This window comes from Homo sapiens, chromosome 3 (genome assembly GCF_000001405.40).
Source record: "Homo sapiens chromosome 3, GRCh38.p14 Primary Assembly".
NCBI lineage: Eukaryota > Metazoa > Chordata > Mammalia > Primates > Hominidae > Homo > Homo sapiens.
In genome coordinates this window covers 169747793-169764597 of record NC_000003.12, presented here as the reverse complement: position 1 = coordinate 169764597, position 16805 = coordinate 169747793, and the positions used below count along the sequence as shown (strand labels likewise).

Sequence of the window (16805 nt, the reverse complement as noted above, 5' to 3'; positions counted from 1 at the left end):
TGTTGGTGGGGGGAACGCCGATCGTGCGCATCCGTCACCCCTCGCCGGCAATGGGGGCTTGTGAACCCCCAAACCTGACTGACTGGGCCAGTGTGCTGCAAATTGGCAGGAGACGTGAAGGCACCTCCAAAGTCGGCCAAAATGAATGGGCAGTGAGCCGGGGTTGCCTGGAGCCGTTCCTGCGTGGGTTCTCCCGTCTTCCGCTTTTTGTTGCCTTTTATGGTTGTATTACAACTTAGTTCCTGCTCTGCAGATTTTGTTGAGGTTTTTGCTTCTCCCAAGGTAGATCTCGACCAGTCCCCTCAACGGGGTGTGGGAGAACAGTCATTTTTTTTTGAGAGATCATTTAACATTTAATGAATATTTAATTAGAAGATCTAAATGAACATTGGAAATTGTGTTCCTTTAATGGTCATCGGTTTATGCCAGAGGTTAGAAGTTTCTTTTTTGAAAAATTAGACCTTGGCGATGACCTTGAGCAGTAGGATATAACCCCCACAAGCTTAGCGTTCCAATAACGGAACACTAGGCATAATGAAAGACGGAAAAGAAATTTATTCCACACCCCCCACCCCCAACCCTCCCAGCCGGCAGTCTCCCACAAGAATTGGCTCTGATTTCCTTTAAGAAAATAAGCTAATGGCCCACTAGGTTGAAAGAAACAAACAGGCCATTCTGCCCACTTATCACGACAAGGTAATTCCGTCCCAAATCCATACCTTCAATTCCTTAGGATCATCTGGGGGTAGTTGCCAAGAGAGAGAGCAGCCAGGGGTGTGTATATAAAGGCCCACCTTTAGGGTGATAGCCTGAATCCTGATGATTGAAAGTCAGAAGTCAAGACCATGTCAGTAAATTTATGAACATGTATATTTGTAGCTTTTTAACCTATTACCTAAGTAGGTCCCCTGGAATTGTCTAGCAGATACATTTCTTAGCACTATTAGAATTAAGAAATGTAAAAAAACCTCTAGAGTCCACTGTTGCTGGTAATGTTCTCTAAATAAGGAAAAATATTTTTCCTATCAGCATGGTTTTGTGGAAAAGTAAGGAATGATTTTGCCAAGAACTTGTCTAGAGTCTTGAGGAAGTAGCTCAGCTTCAGTAAGCCTCAGTTTACTCAAGGTGATCTAAGATCGCTTTTTCTTCTCTTTCTTTTGAGACGGAGTCCCACTCTGTCACCCAGAGCTGGAGTGCAGTGTCCCCATCTTGGCTCACTGCAACCTCTGCCTCCTCGGTTTCTAGCGATTTTCTCTCAGCCTCCCAAGTAGCTGGGTTTACAGGCACACACCACCATACCCGGCTGATTTTTTTGTATTTTCAGTAAAGTTGGGCAGGCTGGCCTCGAACTCCTGACCTCAGGTGATCCGCCCGCTTCTGCCTCCCAAAGTGCTGGGATTACAGGCGTGAGCCACCGTGCGGGGACTAAGATCCCTTTTGCAAGGGCGGGGACTCCTTGAACTACAGACAAGTGCATGTCTTTTGTTCTTACTCCATCTAGTGGTACTTTTGCTTCTCCACATTTACAACATTTGTGGTGGTGCAGGGCCGTGAAGCAAGAATGGCCACAGACTGGGAATGTTTTTCTTTCATTTTTAAAAAGAAAACAGTGATTTAATACATTCAATTTAAAAATAAGTCCATAGTTGTTTTCTAGCTCATATTTGAAGTCGTCCCTCTGACATGTCTATTACAAACAGTCCAAAGGACAATTCTTAGTATTATAAACATTAAATATATTGTTTCTTTTTGGTAAAATGATTAAGTTATATAATTCTAGAGTAAAGACGGCCAGTCATCCTGGATGACCATACAGGTCATCCAGTGAGATAATTTATGTGAAAACTTTCTGTACATAATAATTATTGCAAAAGTGACTTCTTACTGCCACCGATTTGAGTGACTCTAGCAGATGAAGAAACTGCTGCGGAGAGGGGTTTTAGTTACTTGCCTAAGTTATTTACTTGCCTAAGTTAATTTTTTTGCAGAGTTGTGACCAGAAGCTAGGCTTCCCAAGTTCTAGTCCAGTGTTCTGTTCACTGTATTGCACCCTAAGTCTTTGTTGGTTAACCTGGGGCAGATGGTTAGCATTAACTCCATCGTCACTTTCTGGTTTAAAATAAAATAACCTCCTTAATGGTTGTAACCTTGGTTTCCACCCCACATCCACTCCCGCCCTAATACTCTTCGATGTGATTTTGTGCTGTGTGTGTTTCACTTTTTTACAAGTACAGTTGATTCTAGTTATTTGCAGTAGTTACATTCTGTGAAGCCTCTGTGAACACTGGATTAGTGAATACTGAACCATTGCTCCCAGAGGAATTACGGGATTAGGTTCCTGGGAACATTCGGTCACAACATTTTTGTCAAAGAATCGATACATAATCTTGTGTGTGTTTCTGTTAAAGACATCCTAAAGTATGTTGTTGATTCATTAGCACTGAACTCATATTCAACAACACTATCACTTAAGCCTGAATGAAGGCTAACACAAGTATTTTTTTTCTGTAAGACACATCACAGCTTTCTTGTGCTTAGGAACGCTAGACAGCACTTAAGCACTATGATTGGGGGTCATTTTAAACAGCACAGTCACCAACTAAAAGCATACAAATGTGAAAAACTTGCCATTAAATAGACCAGAAATAGGACACTTGTTTATAGTGTCCTTTTTGGACTACAAAGGCAAAAGAGAACCTATGTGTTGGGGAAATCAAACTTTTCAGGGCTCTGCACATGCCCATGAATGACTATGAAAGCACTGCAGGTATTGCTTTTGAGATTATAAACAATTTCGGTGACTAGGTGAATCCACAAATACAGAATCTATGAATATTGAGGGTTGACTGTACTTCAAGGTCTATGTGACAGCTGTATCTGAGAGAGACTACAGATGTCCACATGGTTCCTGAGGTACTTAGGGCTTGTTTCATGCCTTTTATATTATTTAAACCAGTGATTCTCAAAGGGGTATAGTGAGAGAAAGGGTATATGAAGTTTGCAAATGACGATACTTGTTCTCTTTATTTTGTTACTTAGGTTGTATTTCACATGAAGGATGTGAGAATTTTATGCGTATGAAGGAAGCATTAGCTTTAAAAATACTGAGAAACATGCTTTTTCTTTTGTCCTTCAGAATGAGGGGCTTCCTTTGTAAGGTCTGGAGTTGGTTATGGGTTTTGACTCTGAGGATGACATTGAGTTTTAATTCAGCTTGTCCTGGTTCTGCAGTCAAAAATTCCATGTTAGCCTGGCTCGAGACTTAAGAGACAAATAGATGGCACAGGCACAAGCGTGTGTACACATGCACCCACCGTCATACAAAGTGTAAGGGAGGAGTGGTTTTAAATAAGATGAGAATGAAGTGACAAAAGGTAACTGTCATTCCTTCATGTTCATTCTTTTAAGGTAATAATATGTGATGGAAGTAAAAACAGCGAAAATACCCAAGAATTAGCCCAGGATATGCAAATTTAAATGTCTGCAGTGGACAGAAAGGAAACAAAGAAGTGAATCACACTGGGAATAAGAAAATGGAGACTATAGAGATGGTAGGGAGAATGAGCTTCCCTTTTTAAGGAGGCAGCAATCTTACAGAAATTGAGCCTAAAATTGTCAGTATTGCAAGAGAAGACAAAAATTCAGATTTTTATGTCAACACCACTGATTATAGAATGTTGGTAGCTAAATTGAAATAAAATTTAAATATTATATAAGTGCATGGTAAAGAATTTGGATGGCTTTTGTTCCTGAACCCTGGGAAGTAGCCTCTAAACCCTTGGAATTCACCAAGAATGGTGGGAGTGTCTTTTCTTGGTAGGCCTCTTGGACTAGACCCAATAGTTTACACTAACGAGATGACTCATGACTGGGGGTTGGTCAGCCATGTGATTAGAGTGTTGGGGCTTTGGGCCCCATGATACTAGCCCGACCTCTTGAGAGACTTGGAGCCACATGTCTGAGCCTTATGACTAGTGATTCATCCAATCATGCCTGTAATGAAGCCCCAATAAAAACTCTGGACACACTGAAGCTTGGATGAACGTCCGTGGTTGGCAGTACTCAGTGTGCTAGGAGGAAAATGTGTCCCTGAGGACATGAGGAGAGGGACAATGGAACCTTCTTTCTGGGACCCTCCCAGACCTCACTCTATGTGTCTCTCCCTTTGGCTGGTTTTGATTTGAATCCTTTTGCTATAATAAAACCATAATAATAACTATAATAAACATCCTTTTGCTATGATAAAACTGTAATAAAACCGAAATAACACTTTCCTGAGTTCTCTAAGTCATTCTACTGAATTATGAAACTTGAAGGGGTAGTGGGAACCCCTAAATTTGTAGGCAGCTTGTCAGATGTAAGGATGGCCTGGGGACCTCCTAGCTTAGGTTGTTGATAGCTGAAGTCATTGCAATGCACCAATAAAAAAACGTTTTGAGATAAAATCTGGTCTATTATAGGCTATTAATTTGCGACCTTTGGCCTAGGCAAATTTAAGCATTCCTGAGTGCTTTCTCTAGAAGGGTGAGGGTTTGGACCATCCTACCAGTTTGAGGCCTACCCAAAATAAATGTATTTGAGAGGAGTTTACACTGGTGGTATCTGTTATAGGTTTCTGGGAATATCACTAAAGAGAAGTTTCAAAATTAAATTTTAATAATATTCTGAAAATAGTAGTGCTAATCCTTCACGTATAGGGGTTAGGGTATTTCTTCCAGTGGTTCTGCCTGAGGGGTGGGCCTGTTTTTCAGTGTCCATTCTGTCAGTCGTTATGGGATGTGAAGAGGGTTCCAAGGGTTCCACCATCACTAGGTGGAAATGAGGCAACTTTTCCCATATTTTTCCTTTACTCTGGTTTGTATCTCCCCTCCTAGGTAGGTATCAAAGTATATATGGTCTTCATTTGTGTTGCCTCAAATTCTCATTTCTTCCTTGATATAAAAAGGAAACAGGAAGACATTGAAATAAGGATATTATTGTGGTCCTGTACTTTTACCCTGTTCTAACCTAGCTGAGGGAATCTAGCATAAGTCACCCAACTTTACATTCCACATGTGTCAACCGGATGTACTAAGACTTCCCTTGAAGGGTGGTTGTGGGGAGAATATATGAGTAATATATATGACAGCAACTGGTATTATTAATGAGAGGAGAAGTCTGTCTTACTCTTTACTTTGCAAGTAATGATTTTACAGCGCTCTGATGGGTATGTTGTAGTTACTCTGGCAGGAAGTGGTTTTGACTTGGGTATATAGTTAAGAGATATATGGAGAAGGGTGGAAGTGCTAATGGTTTGTGAATTTTTAAAATAACACCAATTATGAACTTGATGCACACCTGCAGCTAGAATCTTTCTCTAGATGATGTTTGACTATCATTTTTTTTTTTTTTTTTGTCTTGGGGCTCTAGGTTTTCACTTTGGTGATATTTATGTGTGTACTATGGCTGTCTATATAAGTGTTAAAAGGCATAATTATAGTTATTAAAAACAATTTAAGGAAAACAGAAAAATGCAATAATGAAGAAATACAAATACTGACTTTTTTGTATGATCAATGAGGATATTATAACTAAAATGAAAAACATTATACATATCAGTTGCAAAAACAGTTACATTCCCCACAATCTTTTTAAAAAATGCGAGTAGTTTGCTAAAGTGAACTGGGTGACTTATTTTCAACCTTGGAAGAAAAACTCAATTAAAGCTACATTTGAACTGTAATGGCACCAAGGAGTTCAACTTGACCTCATATGCCAGATTATAATCATCTTTCAAGTGTACAAACAAGGAAGCATAGTTATCAAAGAATGAGAAATACGTTTGTTCAAAGACCATTTACTGCTTTAACAAGAGGTGAAAGCTTGCCAGAAATATATAAACACCTACCCCAGTGCTATTCATAGGCTTAACATGTTCAAAGACTTGGGGGCGGAGGGGGGGCAATTTAAAAATATCTTTGAAGTTGTGGGTATTCATCATCATATCTAATAATGCTTACTTTCTAGAGCCCCTCTCCAAGGAGGGCAAAGCAATTTATCTGACTTATTTTCATGACATCCTTGTGAGATAAGGCAACCACCATTATCTCCCTTCTGCAAATGGAGAAACTGAAACGTTGGGAGGTAAAATCACTTGAAGAAGGTCAGTAGCAGGCCTAAGAATGTAAATACACGCATTTTAGCTTTTAACTGCTATTTTACTTTACAGAAAACTAAACAAACAAAAAATAATTTTAAAAAAATCACATACTTTTTCATTCTCTTTTTAAGTTAAAGAATAATTACTCATCTATCAACTTTTCCTTGGTAAGGAAAACAGTTTAAATGGCTTTTCACAATAACTGGAATCTTATTATACTGGAATGAATGAACCACTTGCAAAGTTGTGATGTTCATTTAACAAACACTAAATACCTAGTCTGCAACATGTTGTATTGTTCAGGGTGTTGAGACTTCAAAGGTGAAACATATATTCCTCATCTTTAAAGGTCTTCCTGGAGAGAGAGATTCTATAAGCAAATTATATGGTGCAGTCTCATGTTATTTAAATTTACTAAATTCATCATTTTATCCCCCAAATCTATTTTTTCTTCCCTTTCCCCTTCCCGTAAATGCTACTGCTACACCCAGGAGCTAAAACCAGTCTTCTGGGCACCACTGCTGATGTCTCATTTTCCCCGCACCCTGCCGTGTCCTCTGGTCTATTTTTTTTTTTTTTGAGATTGGGTCTTGCTCTGTTTCCCAGGCTGGAGTGCAGTGGTGTGACATAGCTCACTGCAGCCCTGAGGCTGAGGTGCGAGGGTCACTTGAGCCCAGGAGTTAGCACAGAGGCAAATGCTAAGTAATCTAATTAATAATGCTTTCTAATTTTTTCAGTTACAAAATTAATGTGACAATATCATAAAAAAAGGTGAGAAATAGAGGGACTACAGATGTGCACCGCCAGCCTAATTTTTAAAATAATTTTTTTGAGAGTCAGGAGCTTGCTATATTGCCCAGGCTGGTCTTGAACTCTTGGCCTCAAGTGATCCTCCCACTTTGGCTTCATTTCTACTACCTTAATCTAGTTCACTATCTTTTTTTTTTTTTTTTTTTTTTTTTGGAGAGAGAGTCTTGTTCTGTTGCCCAGGCTGGAGTGCAATGGTGTGATTTTGGCTTACTGCAACCTCCACCTCCCAGGTTCAAGTGATTCTCCTGCCTCAGCCTCCCAAGGAACTGGGATTACAGGCACGTGCCACAACGCCCAGCAATTTTTGTATTTTTAGTAGAGATGGGGTTTCACCACGTTGGCCAGGCTGGTCTTGAACTCCTGACCTCAGGTGATCCACCTGCCTTGGCCTCCCAAAGTGCTGGGATTACAGGTGTTAGCCACTGCCCCAGCCCAGTTCACCATCTTCTACAAAGACCTGACAGGTCTTTCTACTTCTTATCTTGCCTCACACCCATTACCAATTCATTCTTCACAACGGAACTAGAGTGATCTTATTAAAAGGCTAACTGAGCCATGTTTTTTCTCTTCACAACACTTTAGTGACTTCATGTTGCACTTGGAATAAAATCCAAAATTCTTATCAAGGCTTTGTATAATCTGGCCCCCTGCTTACCCCTCTGTGTCCCCACCCAAATCTCAACTTGAATTGTATCGCCCAGAATTCCTATGTGTTTTGGGAGAGACCCAGGGGGAGGTAATTGAATCATGTGGGCCAGTCTTTCCCATGCTATTCTCGTGATAGTGAATAAGTCTCACGAGATCTGATGGGTTTATCAGGGGTTTCCACTTTTGCTTCTTCTCTCATTTTCTCTTGCTGCCGCCATGTAAGAAGTGACTTTTGCCTCCCACCATGATTCTGAGTCATCCACAGCCAGGTGGAACTGTAAGTCCAATAAAATCCCTTTTTCTTCCCAGTCTCGGGTATGTCTTTACCAGCAGTGTGAAAACAAACTAATACACCCTCTTCTTTTCTTGCACTGTGCTTCAGCCACACCAGCCTCCTTTGTACCAAACTCTCATCCTGGGTTCTCTGCTTAAATTGCACTTGTAGTTCCTGGCCCCTTCTCTCCTCCTCAAGTCTTAACTTAGATATCACCTCCTCAGAATCCTCTCTGACCCCCTTTTGAAGCAGGTTACCCCTCCTCTTATGATCTTCTGTTGATTACCTTTATAACATGTTTTCCTAATTTGCAATAAATTATTTGCTTATCTGTGTTCTTCACTGGGTTATAAGGATAGGGGCAGAACCCAAGTCATTGAGTTCATTGACAGATCCCAGGTGCCTAGTACATAACAGGTGCTCAATAATTGTTTGTTGAATGCATGATGGAGTGCTGTTGGGGCAGAGAACAGACCAGCTAATTGTAACTATGATTTCACCAGCACAGAGGCAAATGCTAAGTAGATATCTGTAATTAATAGTGCTTTCTAATGTTTTTCAGTTACAAAATTAAAATTTAGGTCATTATTTGGTACATTTCTTTCCAGTCTCTCTTTGTACCTGATGTATATATTTTATACCTGTCTCTTTTTATACCTGATATATATATTTTAGACAATTATATGTCAAATTCTGCTTTTTTATTTAGTAATAAATTATAAATATTATTCCATGTTATTACAGAGCCTTCAGAACCATTATTTAATATTGTTGCCTAATGTTCCATTTAATGGATGTATCATAATCTATGTAACACTTCACCTACAGATGAATATTTAACTTGTTTTCAATTTTTTTACTGCTATCGTGAATAACTATGCACAAATTTTTTTATGTTTTTAGATTGTTCCTTTACTTAATTACTAAGGGTGCATCACTAACCCAAAGGGTAGTATTTTGTTTGAAGGAGAATTGTCCAGACTTGTATAGAACCTCTGGGTAATCTACCTATGTTACTTTCTCTTCTGGAATTTCCCAAAATAGAATTTATCTTGATCACTATGTATATCTGGTTGTCAACAGGACTAGATCTGGCCACAGCTGCAAACCTTGAGTAGCTATGCAGATTGAATCATTCAATCGTTTCCAGAGTCCTTCTACTACTAAAATAAAGGACACATTATATCTTCTCTGTCTTATCTTTCCTCATCTTCTTTCCTGCCTTGCTTTCCCTGCCAAAAGTTTTGATAAAGCAGGAGGTAAAGATGGCAGGGAGAGAGATAATGGCTAAAAACACAGAATCTGTTTCTCAGAGTTGTGTGTGTGTGTGTGTAGTATTAAGTCACGGGGGTCAAGGGTATCAATGCAGAGGCTGAATACATACATAGTGGTGCCTCTCCTGCATCACACCCTCCTCCTGCATTCAGTTGCAGCCATGCATCATAGGTAGGATGGATTGACTCTTGCCTGTATCCAAGGATGGTTCTAATCCCCTCTCTTGCCATCATGATTGGTTCTGGGATGGCTTCATCAGAACAAAGTGCTGAACTTCAGTTTAATGGCTGAGTGAAGTAAGAGTTTTCTCCCCTTTAATGGGAATGAAGACGTTAGTAACTAGTGTTGCTCCTATCAGTCACTTGCAACTAAGAGGGAGGCCAGTTTGAGGACAGAGTCAACTCACAAAGAAGGGCAAAGCCCAGGGAAACACAGAGAAAGAGAGGTGGAGCTCTGCCTTTGGACTTTCCAAAATGTGTGAGCTTGCCCTGCCTTTCGACTTTTCAAATACATGAGCTGATGAATCACCTTGATTGTTTTAGCCAGTTAGCGTCAGGGGTTTTGTTGCTTCACTCAAAAGTACCTTAACTGATGCAGGAAAATTGGCATGACTGCTATATGATTGCTATCTTACCAAATAATTGTATTGTGGCACTGTCCTAGAAGAGAGGTTAGCGTGGTTTCTGTCCTAGAAGGAAATGTTCTCTACAACACAGGAGGCATGCCTCAGAGACTTCTGGGACCAGCTCTTCTCCCAATTTGTACCCCTCTTCCCTGGATACAATGACAGATGGCATTGTAAAGACAGGACATGCAGCTTTCAGAGGCTATATTTGCAAGTAAATTTTCTCCTATTTGAGACCCTTTGCAACTACCAAATACCATGGACATGGTTTGTGATTATTTGTAATATTAAATAGGAAAGGCACAGGGGCTGTCATTCTGGGGCAGAACAAATCTTGTTTACAGCCCTGTGCTATTCGGGGATGTAGGCCCCAAAACTAGGAAGCTGGGGGCCAGGCGCAGTGGCTCACGCCTATAATCCTAGCACTTTGGGAGGCCGAGGTGGGTAGATTACTTGAGGTCAGGAGTTCGAGACCAGCCTGGCCAACATGGTGAAACCCTGTTTCTACTAAAAATACAAAAAAATTAGCCAGGCATGGTGGCACATGCATGTAGTCCCAGCTGCTTGGGAGGCTGAGGCAGGAGAATCGCTTGAACCCAGGAGGTGGGGGTTGCAGTGAGGCAATTACACCACACTGCACTCTGGCCTGGGCAACAGAGAGAGACTTTGTCTCAAAAAAAAAAAGGAAATTGGGACACAGAGCGTGCTCGGAATATTTATTCTCAGAGGTGAAAGACTTTTTCTTTTTTGTGTATGTGTCCAATGTGTAGCTTTTCAATAATGAGATATACAATAATAAAAACTCACAGTTCTCTCACCTTTCTCCATCTTCCACTCCCACTTTTCCTTTTCTCAGTAGAAGCTCTCACCTTATTTGGTTGCTTGTTTATTACAGACAGATTCATGTGATTGATGTATAACTGATAGGAGAATATCTATCTAGTTAAATATTTGTCTTAAAGTTAATCTTTAAAAAGTGACTGTTAAAAAGATAATTAAGTAAATGTTATTTGATAGCTGTCCAAAGTGTCATTCCTGTTATGGAATAAATCTTTCTTTGGTATTCATTGCAACAACCTGACTATAGCAAAAATAGCACTGCTGTTGATAATCCTTCTGAGTGTTTGACTTCCACATTCAAAGGTCTCCTCTCTCTATCAGACAGAATGGTGTTCCTTAACCAGAAAGATTGGGCTGGGCTCAGTGGCTCATGCCTGTAATCCCAGCACTTTGGGAGACTGAGGCAGGTGGATCACCTGAGGTCAGGAGTTCAAGACCAGCCTGACCAACATGGTGAAACCCCGTCTCTACTAAAAATACAAAAAAAAAACAAAAAAAACAAAAACCAAAAAAACACACACACACAAAATTGGCTGGGCATGGTGGCACAAGCTTGTAATCTCAGCTACTCAGGAGGCTGAGGCAGGAGAATCACTTGAATCCAGGAGGTGGAGGTTGCAGTGAGCCGAGATTGCGCCATTGCACTCCAGCCTGGGCAACTCCATCTGAAAAAAAAAAAAAAAAAAGAAAAGAAAGAAAGAAAGATTGTTTTACCTGTTCATTAGTGTAATTTTCTCTGGTGCAAGATATGGAATTAAAACAGGGTTATACAGATAGCAAGTATCAAAGGAGAAGAATGGAGGAAATGGTTTGAATTCACCAGTTCTCTCGACTTTTCTCCACTCGTTCTTACCTTTTTCCTGGTGTTAACTCTGACCTTTTTTGGTTGTTCAACCTTCATCTCAGAGATTCTGTTGCTGATTTTTTAAATAGAGGACAAAGATCCAGCTATAGTATTCTCAATTTTGTAGTATTTATGCCACTATTTTCCAAAAGTATTCTGCATGGTATTTGTTTATTTTTTCATCTGCTTATTCATGTATCCATTCATCCAATAAAGAATTACTGTTTTATTAAAAGAATATGCAATAGTTACCAATATTAAAGGTTTTAAAATTCAGAAATATAATGCCACAGTTAACAAAGTATTAATTATTTAAATGAGGACTTAATACATTAGAATGCCATCACTAGTAAAATATAAGTATTTAGGTGTTAAAACTGAATATTAGAATTTTTGAACTATATAAACTCAACATTAATGCTTTGAAAGAGTTATTATTAAGCAACAGATATTGCAGAACAGACTTCAGACATAGCTCTCTAAAAAGTTCTTGCTAAGCTGTAACAAAATGTTGCTTCTTTTGCTATCTATATACAGCTGCTTGCTTTAAATTAGTAGATTCTGAAACAGCTTTCCTTGCATGTCTAAAATAAAAGTATTGCGTGTAAAAAAAAAAAAGAATTACTGAGCTCCTGCTAAGTGCCAACATTATGCCAGGTGCTGGGAATGCCAGGCACCAGGGCAACTAAACTTCAATATCCCCGAAGTTTGGCAGTAAACTAGAAGACAGACAGTGCGAAGTAAACTAGTAAATATATAATTCCAGAGTGTGAAGGAAATGAACAGGGTTTTACGCCATAGCACAATGGGCAGGGGAGAAGGACTTAAATAGTATTTTCAAAAATTCCAGTTTGGACAATACATTATATAGTCATCCTGTCTATTGGTAAGAGTAGTTTTGGTGGACTGGGGAGGCAGAAAGCCAGAACGCAGTAGATTGAGAATTGAGGTGTAGGAATTAACGGAGAGATGGTAGATACAGATAGTTCTTTAGTTTATGAAGGAGAGGAGAGAAATAGGAGAGTTAGCTGACAGGGTAATGAGTTGAGTAATGCTTTGAATAACCATGTTTATGTGCTGATAGGAAGGGATCTGAAGAACAAAAAAGGTTGATGACTGGAACTGGAGAAAGGTTTCTAGGAAGGCAGTACAGCAGAAGAGGGATTTTCCATAGAAAAGAAAAGAGCAAAAGGGAAGGAAATGGGCCATCAGATACAGGTCAGTTTAAAGATTTCATGGTAGGGAGTTAAGGGGGTTCATATCTTATGGCTTCTTTTTTCTCTGAAGTTAGAGCCTGGGTCATGTGCAAGGGTTTCTTTATTCTTCTAACACTCAAACTACCTTTATTGATTGTTTTAAGGTGATTGTCTTATTTTATTAGTACAAAACACTGTATTATAGCTACTATTACTGAATTTTATATAGGATAAATTGAGGGTAAGCAAGATCTGTGACACAGTCCCTTAAGCAATGTTACCTCTGTCCTTGCAACCTTCCTGATCCATTTTATTTATCAAACTTCTCTCTTTTTCACTCTTTAGTTGTAGAGTGGGAAGGGATAAGACACAGCCATTCTTCCACTGCACTGAAATTAGAGTTTTAGCTTGAGTATCTGACCTGATTCCTCCTTTGGAAGCCCTCCCATAGTTTTAGTTATAATGCTGTGTTTTCTAATTTAAAAACCAACTCTTGGTCGGGCATGTTGGCTCACGCCTGTAATCCCAGCACTTTGGGAGGCCGAGGCAGGTGTATCATCTGAGGTCAGGAGTTCGAGACCAGCCTGGCCAACATGGTGAAATCCCATCTCTACTAAAAATACAAAAATTACCTGGGCTTGGTGGCAGGTGCCTGTAATCCCAGCTGGTAGGGAGGCTGAGGCAGGAGAATCACTTGAACCCGGGAGGTGGAGGTTACAGTGAGCCGAGATCACACCATTGTACTGCAGCCTGGGTGACAGAGCGAGACTCCATCTCAAACAAAAACAAAAACAAACAAACAAACAAAACAAAAAAACAACACTTGTTTCAACAAATATGAGTGCAGTAATGGGGAGACTGTGACTTGATATGCGAAATTTGCACTGGCCCAGAGAAATCTGATTTATTGTCCCCACAAGTAGAAAGTGCACTGAATTGAAAGATAGAATATCTGGGCTTAAATCTCAGTTATGCCGTGTAGTTTCTCAGTGACCTTGGGCAATTCACTTAAACTTCAGCCTTTATTTCCTCGTCTCTAAAATGAGGCTATTAATATCTGCTCTCTCTAACTCACAAATATTTGTAAAGATTAGATTAGGCAAACCATGTGAAAGTGTACTGCTATGCAAATTTAAGGTGTACCACTTACTTCCTTAAAAGAAATATTTAGAGTCATCTATTCATGTTCTGAGAATGGGAATAAAGGAAATTCATCTAAAACCATGACAGTGATCTGATCCTGATGTTAGAGTGAAATCTTGGACAAAATATGAAATACAAAGAAGGATCTAGGCTGGGCGTGGTGGCTCATGCCTGTGATTTCAGCACTTTTGGAGGCCAAGGCAGGTGGATCACCTGAGGTCAGGAGTTCGAGACCAACATGACCAACATGGTGAAACCCTGTCTCTACTAAAAATACAAAAATTAGCCAGGCATGGTGGCACATGCGTGTAATCCCAGCTACTCAGGAGGCTGAGGCATGAGAATTGCTTGAACCCGGAAGGCAGGTTGCAATGGAGATTGCACCACTGCACTTCAGCCTAGGCAACAGAGCAAGACTCTGTCTCAAAAACAACAACAACAACACCATCAACAAAAAAAGAAAAACAACAACAACAACAACAACAAAAAGACCTAAAGAAGAATTTCAGTCAGTTAGAATTCAACTAACCAAAACACTTAACTAACCAGGATTAATTTTTAAATTTTCTGATTTTAAACCCCCAAAAGAAATGTTTTAGATTTATCCTGAGAATATACTGTGGCCATAAGGGGTAAGTATGAGGATGGCAGGCAGAGGGAGATGGAATGGGTGGTGTCCTTGACTTGCTCTGCTGCTATTGTTCTGCCGCTATTTTGACTTGCTCTGGAATTCCCTGTCCTTAGACTTTATTGTGTCATATTATAATTTTTTTTTTTTTGGGGGGCAGAGTCTCATTCTGTTGCCCAGGGTGGAGTGCAGTGCTGTGATCTCGGCTCACTACAACCTCCACCTCCTGGGTTCAGGCGATTCTCCCGTCTCGGCCCCCCGAGTAGCTGGAACTACAGGCATGCACCACCACACCTGGCTAATTTTTTGTATTTTTAGTAGAGATGAGCTTTTGCCATGTTGCCCAGGCTGGTCTCAAAGTCCCGAGCTCAGGCAATCTGCCCGCCTCAGTCTACCAGAGTGCTAGGATTACAGACATGAGCCACTGCGCCCAGCCTATAAATTTCTTTTTGTTTGTTTGAGACAGGATCTTACTCTTGCCCAGGCTGGAGTGAAGTGGTGCAATTACGACTCACTTGCAGCATCAAACTCCTGGGGTCATAAGATCTTTTCGCCTCTGCCTCCCTGGTAGCTGGGACTACAGATGCATGCCACCACGTGGCAGTATTTTTTATTAGTAGAGACAGGTTCTCGCTATGTTGCCTAGGCTGCTCTTGAACTCCTGGGCTTAAACAATCCTTCAGCCTCAGCCTCCCAAAGTGCTGGGATTACAGGTGTGAGCCACCTCACTTGCCACATTACATATTTCTTTATCATGTGAGGCTTTCAGTTGTGTTACTGTTATTGCAGTCAAAAGCATCCTAACCAATACATTAGCCTCTACTAATCTTATGTAAGGTAATCTCAATCTTTTATTCTCATCAAAGATAGTCTACTATAGCAGGTCTTTGAGCTCTTCCTGGCTAGAACTGATACTCAAAGGCCCAGGGCTTCACAGGAGCAGCAGACAGCAAAAAATAGATAAGCAAAAAGTCTGTTTTTCTAAAATCAGATTCATGCACTGCCCTTGCTCCATAATTCTGCTGACCTCCCAATAGCTGACTCTGGTTGCCTGAACTTAGGCATATTTCTGCCCTTTGTTGCTTCTGTTGGTTTTCTTGAACTCGGCCATATATTGTCTAAATTGCTGCTTCTATTTGACCTTTCCTATTTGTCTAGACTCCTACCTGGAGCTGGCTTGTTGTAAATGGTCTTATCCCATTGTCAACCCCACCTCAATGTGATACACCTTTATTTTTTAACTTCGCCTTAAACCACCTACAGAGGATGAGTCATAATGTTTGCTGACTTGATCATACACGTTTCATCCTTCCCTTTGCTTTCATCTCTGAATCCCTCACAACACATGTAACTTAGAAACTACCAGTAACCAGAATCTTGCTGAACTGAAGAGTCTTTCATCAAATCATATATCACGTCATATATTTTTTTCTGTATGAGCCTTGAGACTGGCTTATTCTAGATCCACTCTCAGTTGCCCAGTTACAAACCTTAGCCACTTCCTATTCTCTTATCCCATCACAGTCTCCAATACACCCCCTGATCATCTTAACCTAAGTAAAAACTGTTCAATTTTCTCCTGCATTCTCAGTTCTATCCAGCCCAGCTTCCCTTTTCCTTATTCGATAACTGGCATAATTGTGCATTTCATACCTAGGAATCCTACTGGTTCTGTGTATAATAAAGCAGGAAATTATTCTGGTGCTATTCTGAAGTCATTGAAAGGTTATAAAGATCTACATGTGGGATAAAATGACATAGAACTATATCAGGGTTAATTAATTTGCCAAATCCCATAGTTGATTATGGCAATGCCAGATTCAACCCTAAGTCTACTTGTCACCAAAGTCTGGACTGCTAATCACCATAATTCCCATGTCTTACTTTCAAAATGGGGATAAAATAATACTTAACTTGAAAGATTGGCCTTATTCAATTTCTGGAAAAACTAAACATACATTTACAATGTATCCCACCAATCATACTCCTAGACATCTATCCCAGAGAAATGAAAACTTATGTTCATACAAAAACCTTTACACAATTGTTCATAGCAGTTTTATTTTTAATAGCCCCAAACTAGAAAAAAAGAAAAAAAAAGTTCTTCAGTGGGTGACTGATTAAACAAACTGTGGTACATCCATACCATGGAATATCACTGAGCAATAAAAAAACAAACTATTGATACATGCAACAGCTTGGGTGCACTTCCAGCATTATGCTAGGTGAAACAAACCAATCACACAAGGTCACATACTGGATGATTCAATTTACATGACATCTTCAAGATAACAACATTGTAGAGATGGAGAATAGCTTAGTGGCTGCCAGGGAATAGGGGTGGTGGAGGGAAGGGGGCTGTAACTGTGAAGGGGTAGCATGA

At 40.1% G+C, this 16805-nt stretch overlaps 1 annotated feature.

Annotated features, from left to right (window-relative positions):
* Window positions 68–157: an enhancer, noted in NCBI's record as "active region_20782". NCBI's record gives its function as "activates an Ori minimal core promoter by ATAC-STARR-seq in GM12878 lymphoblastoid cells {active_cell/tissue: GM12878}" and the evidence as "EXISTENCE:reporter gene assay evidence [ECO:0000049][PMID:35858748]".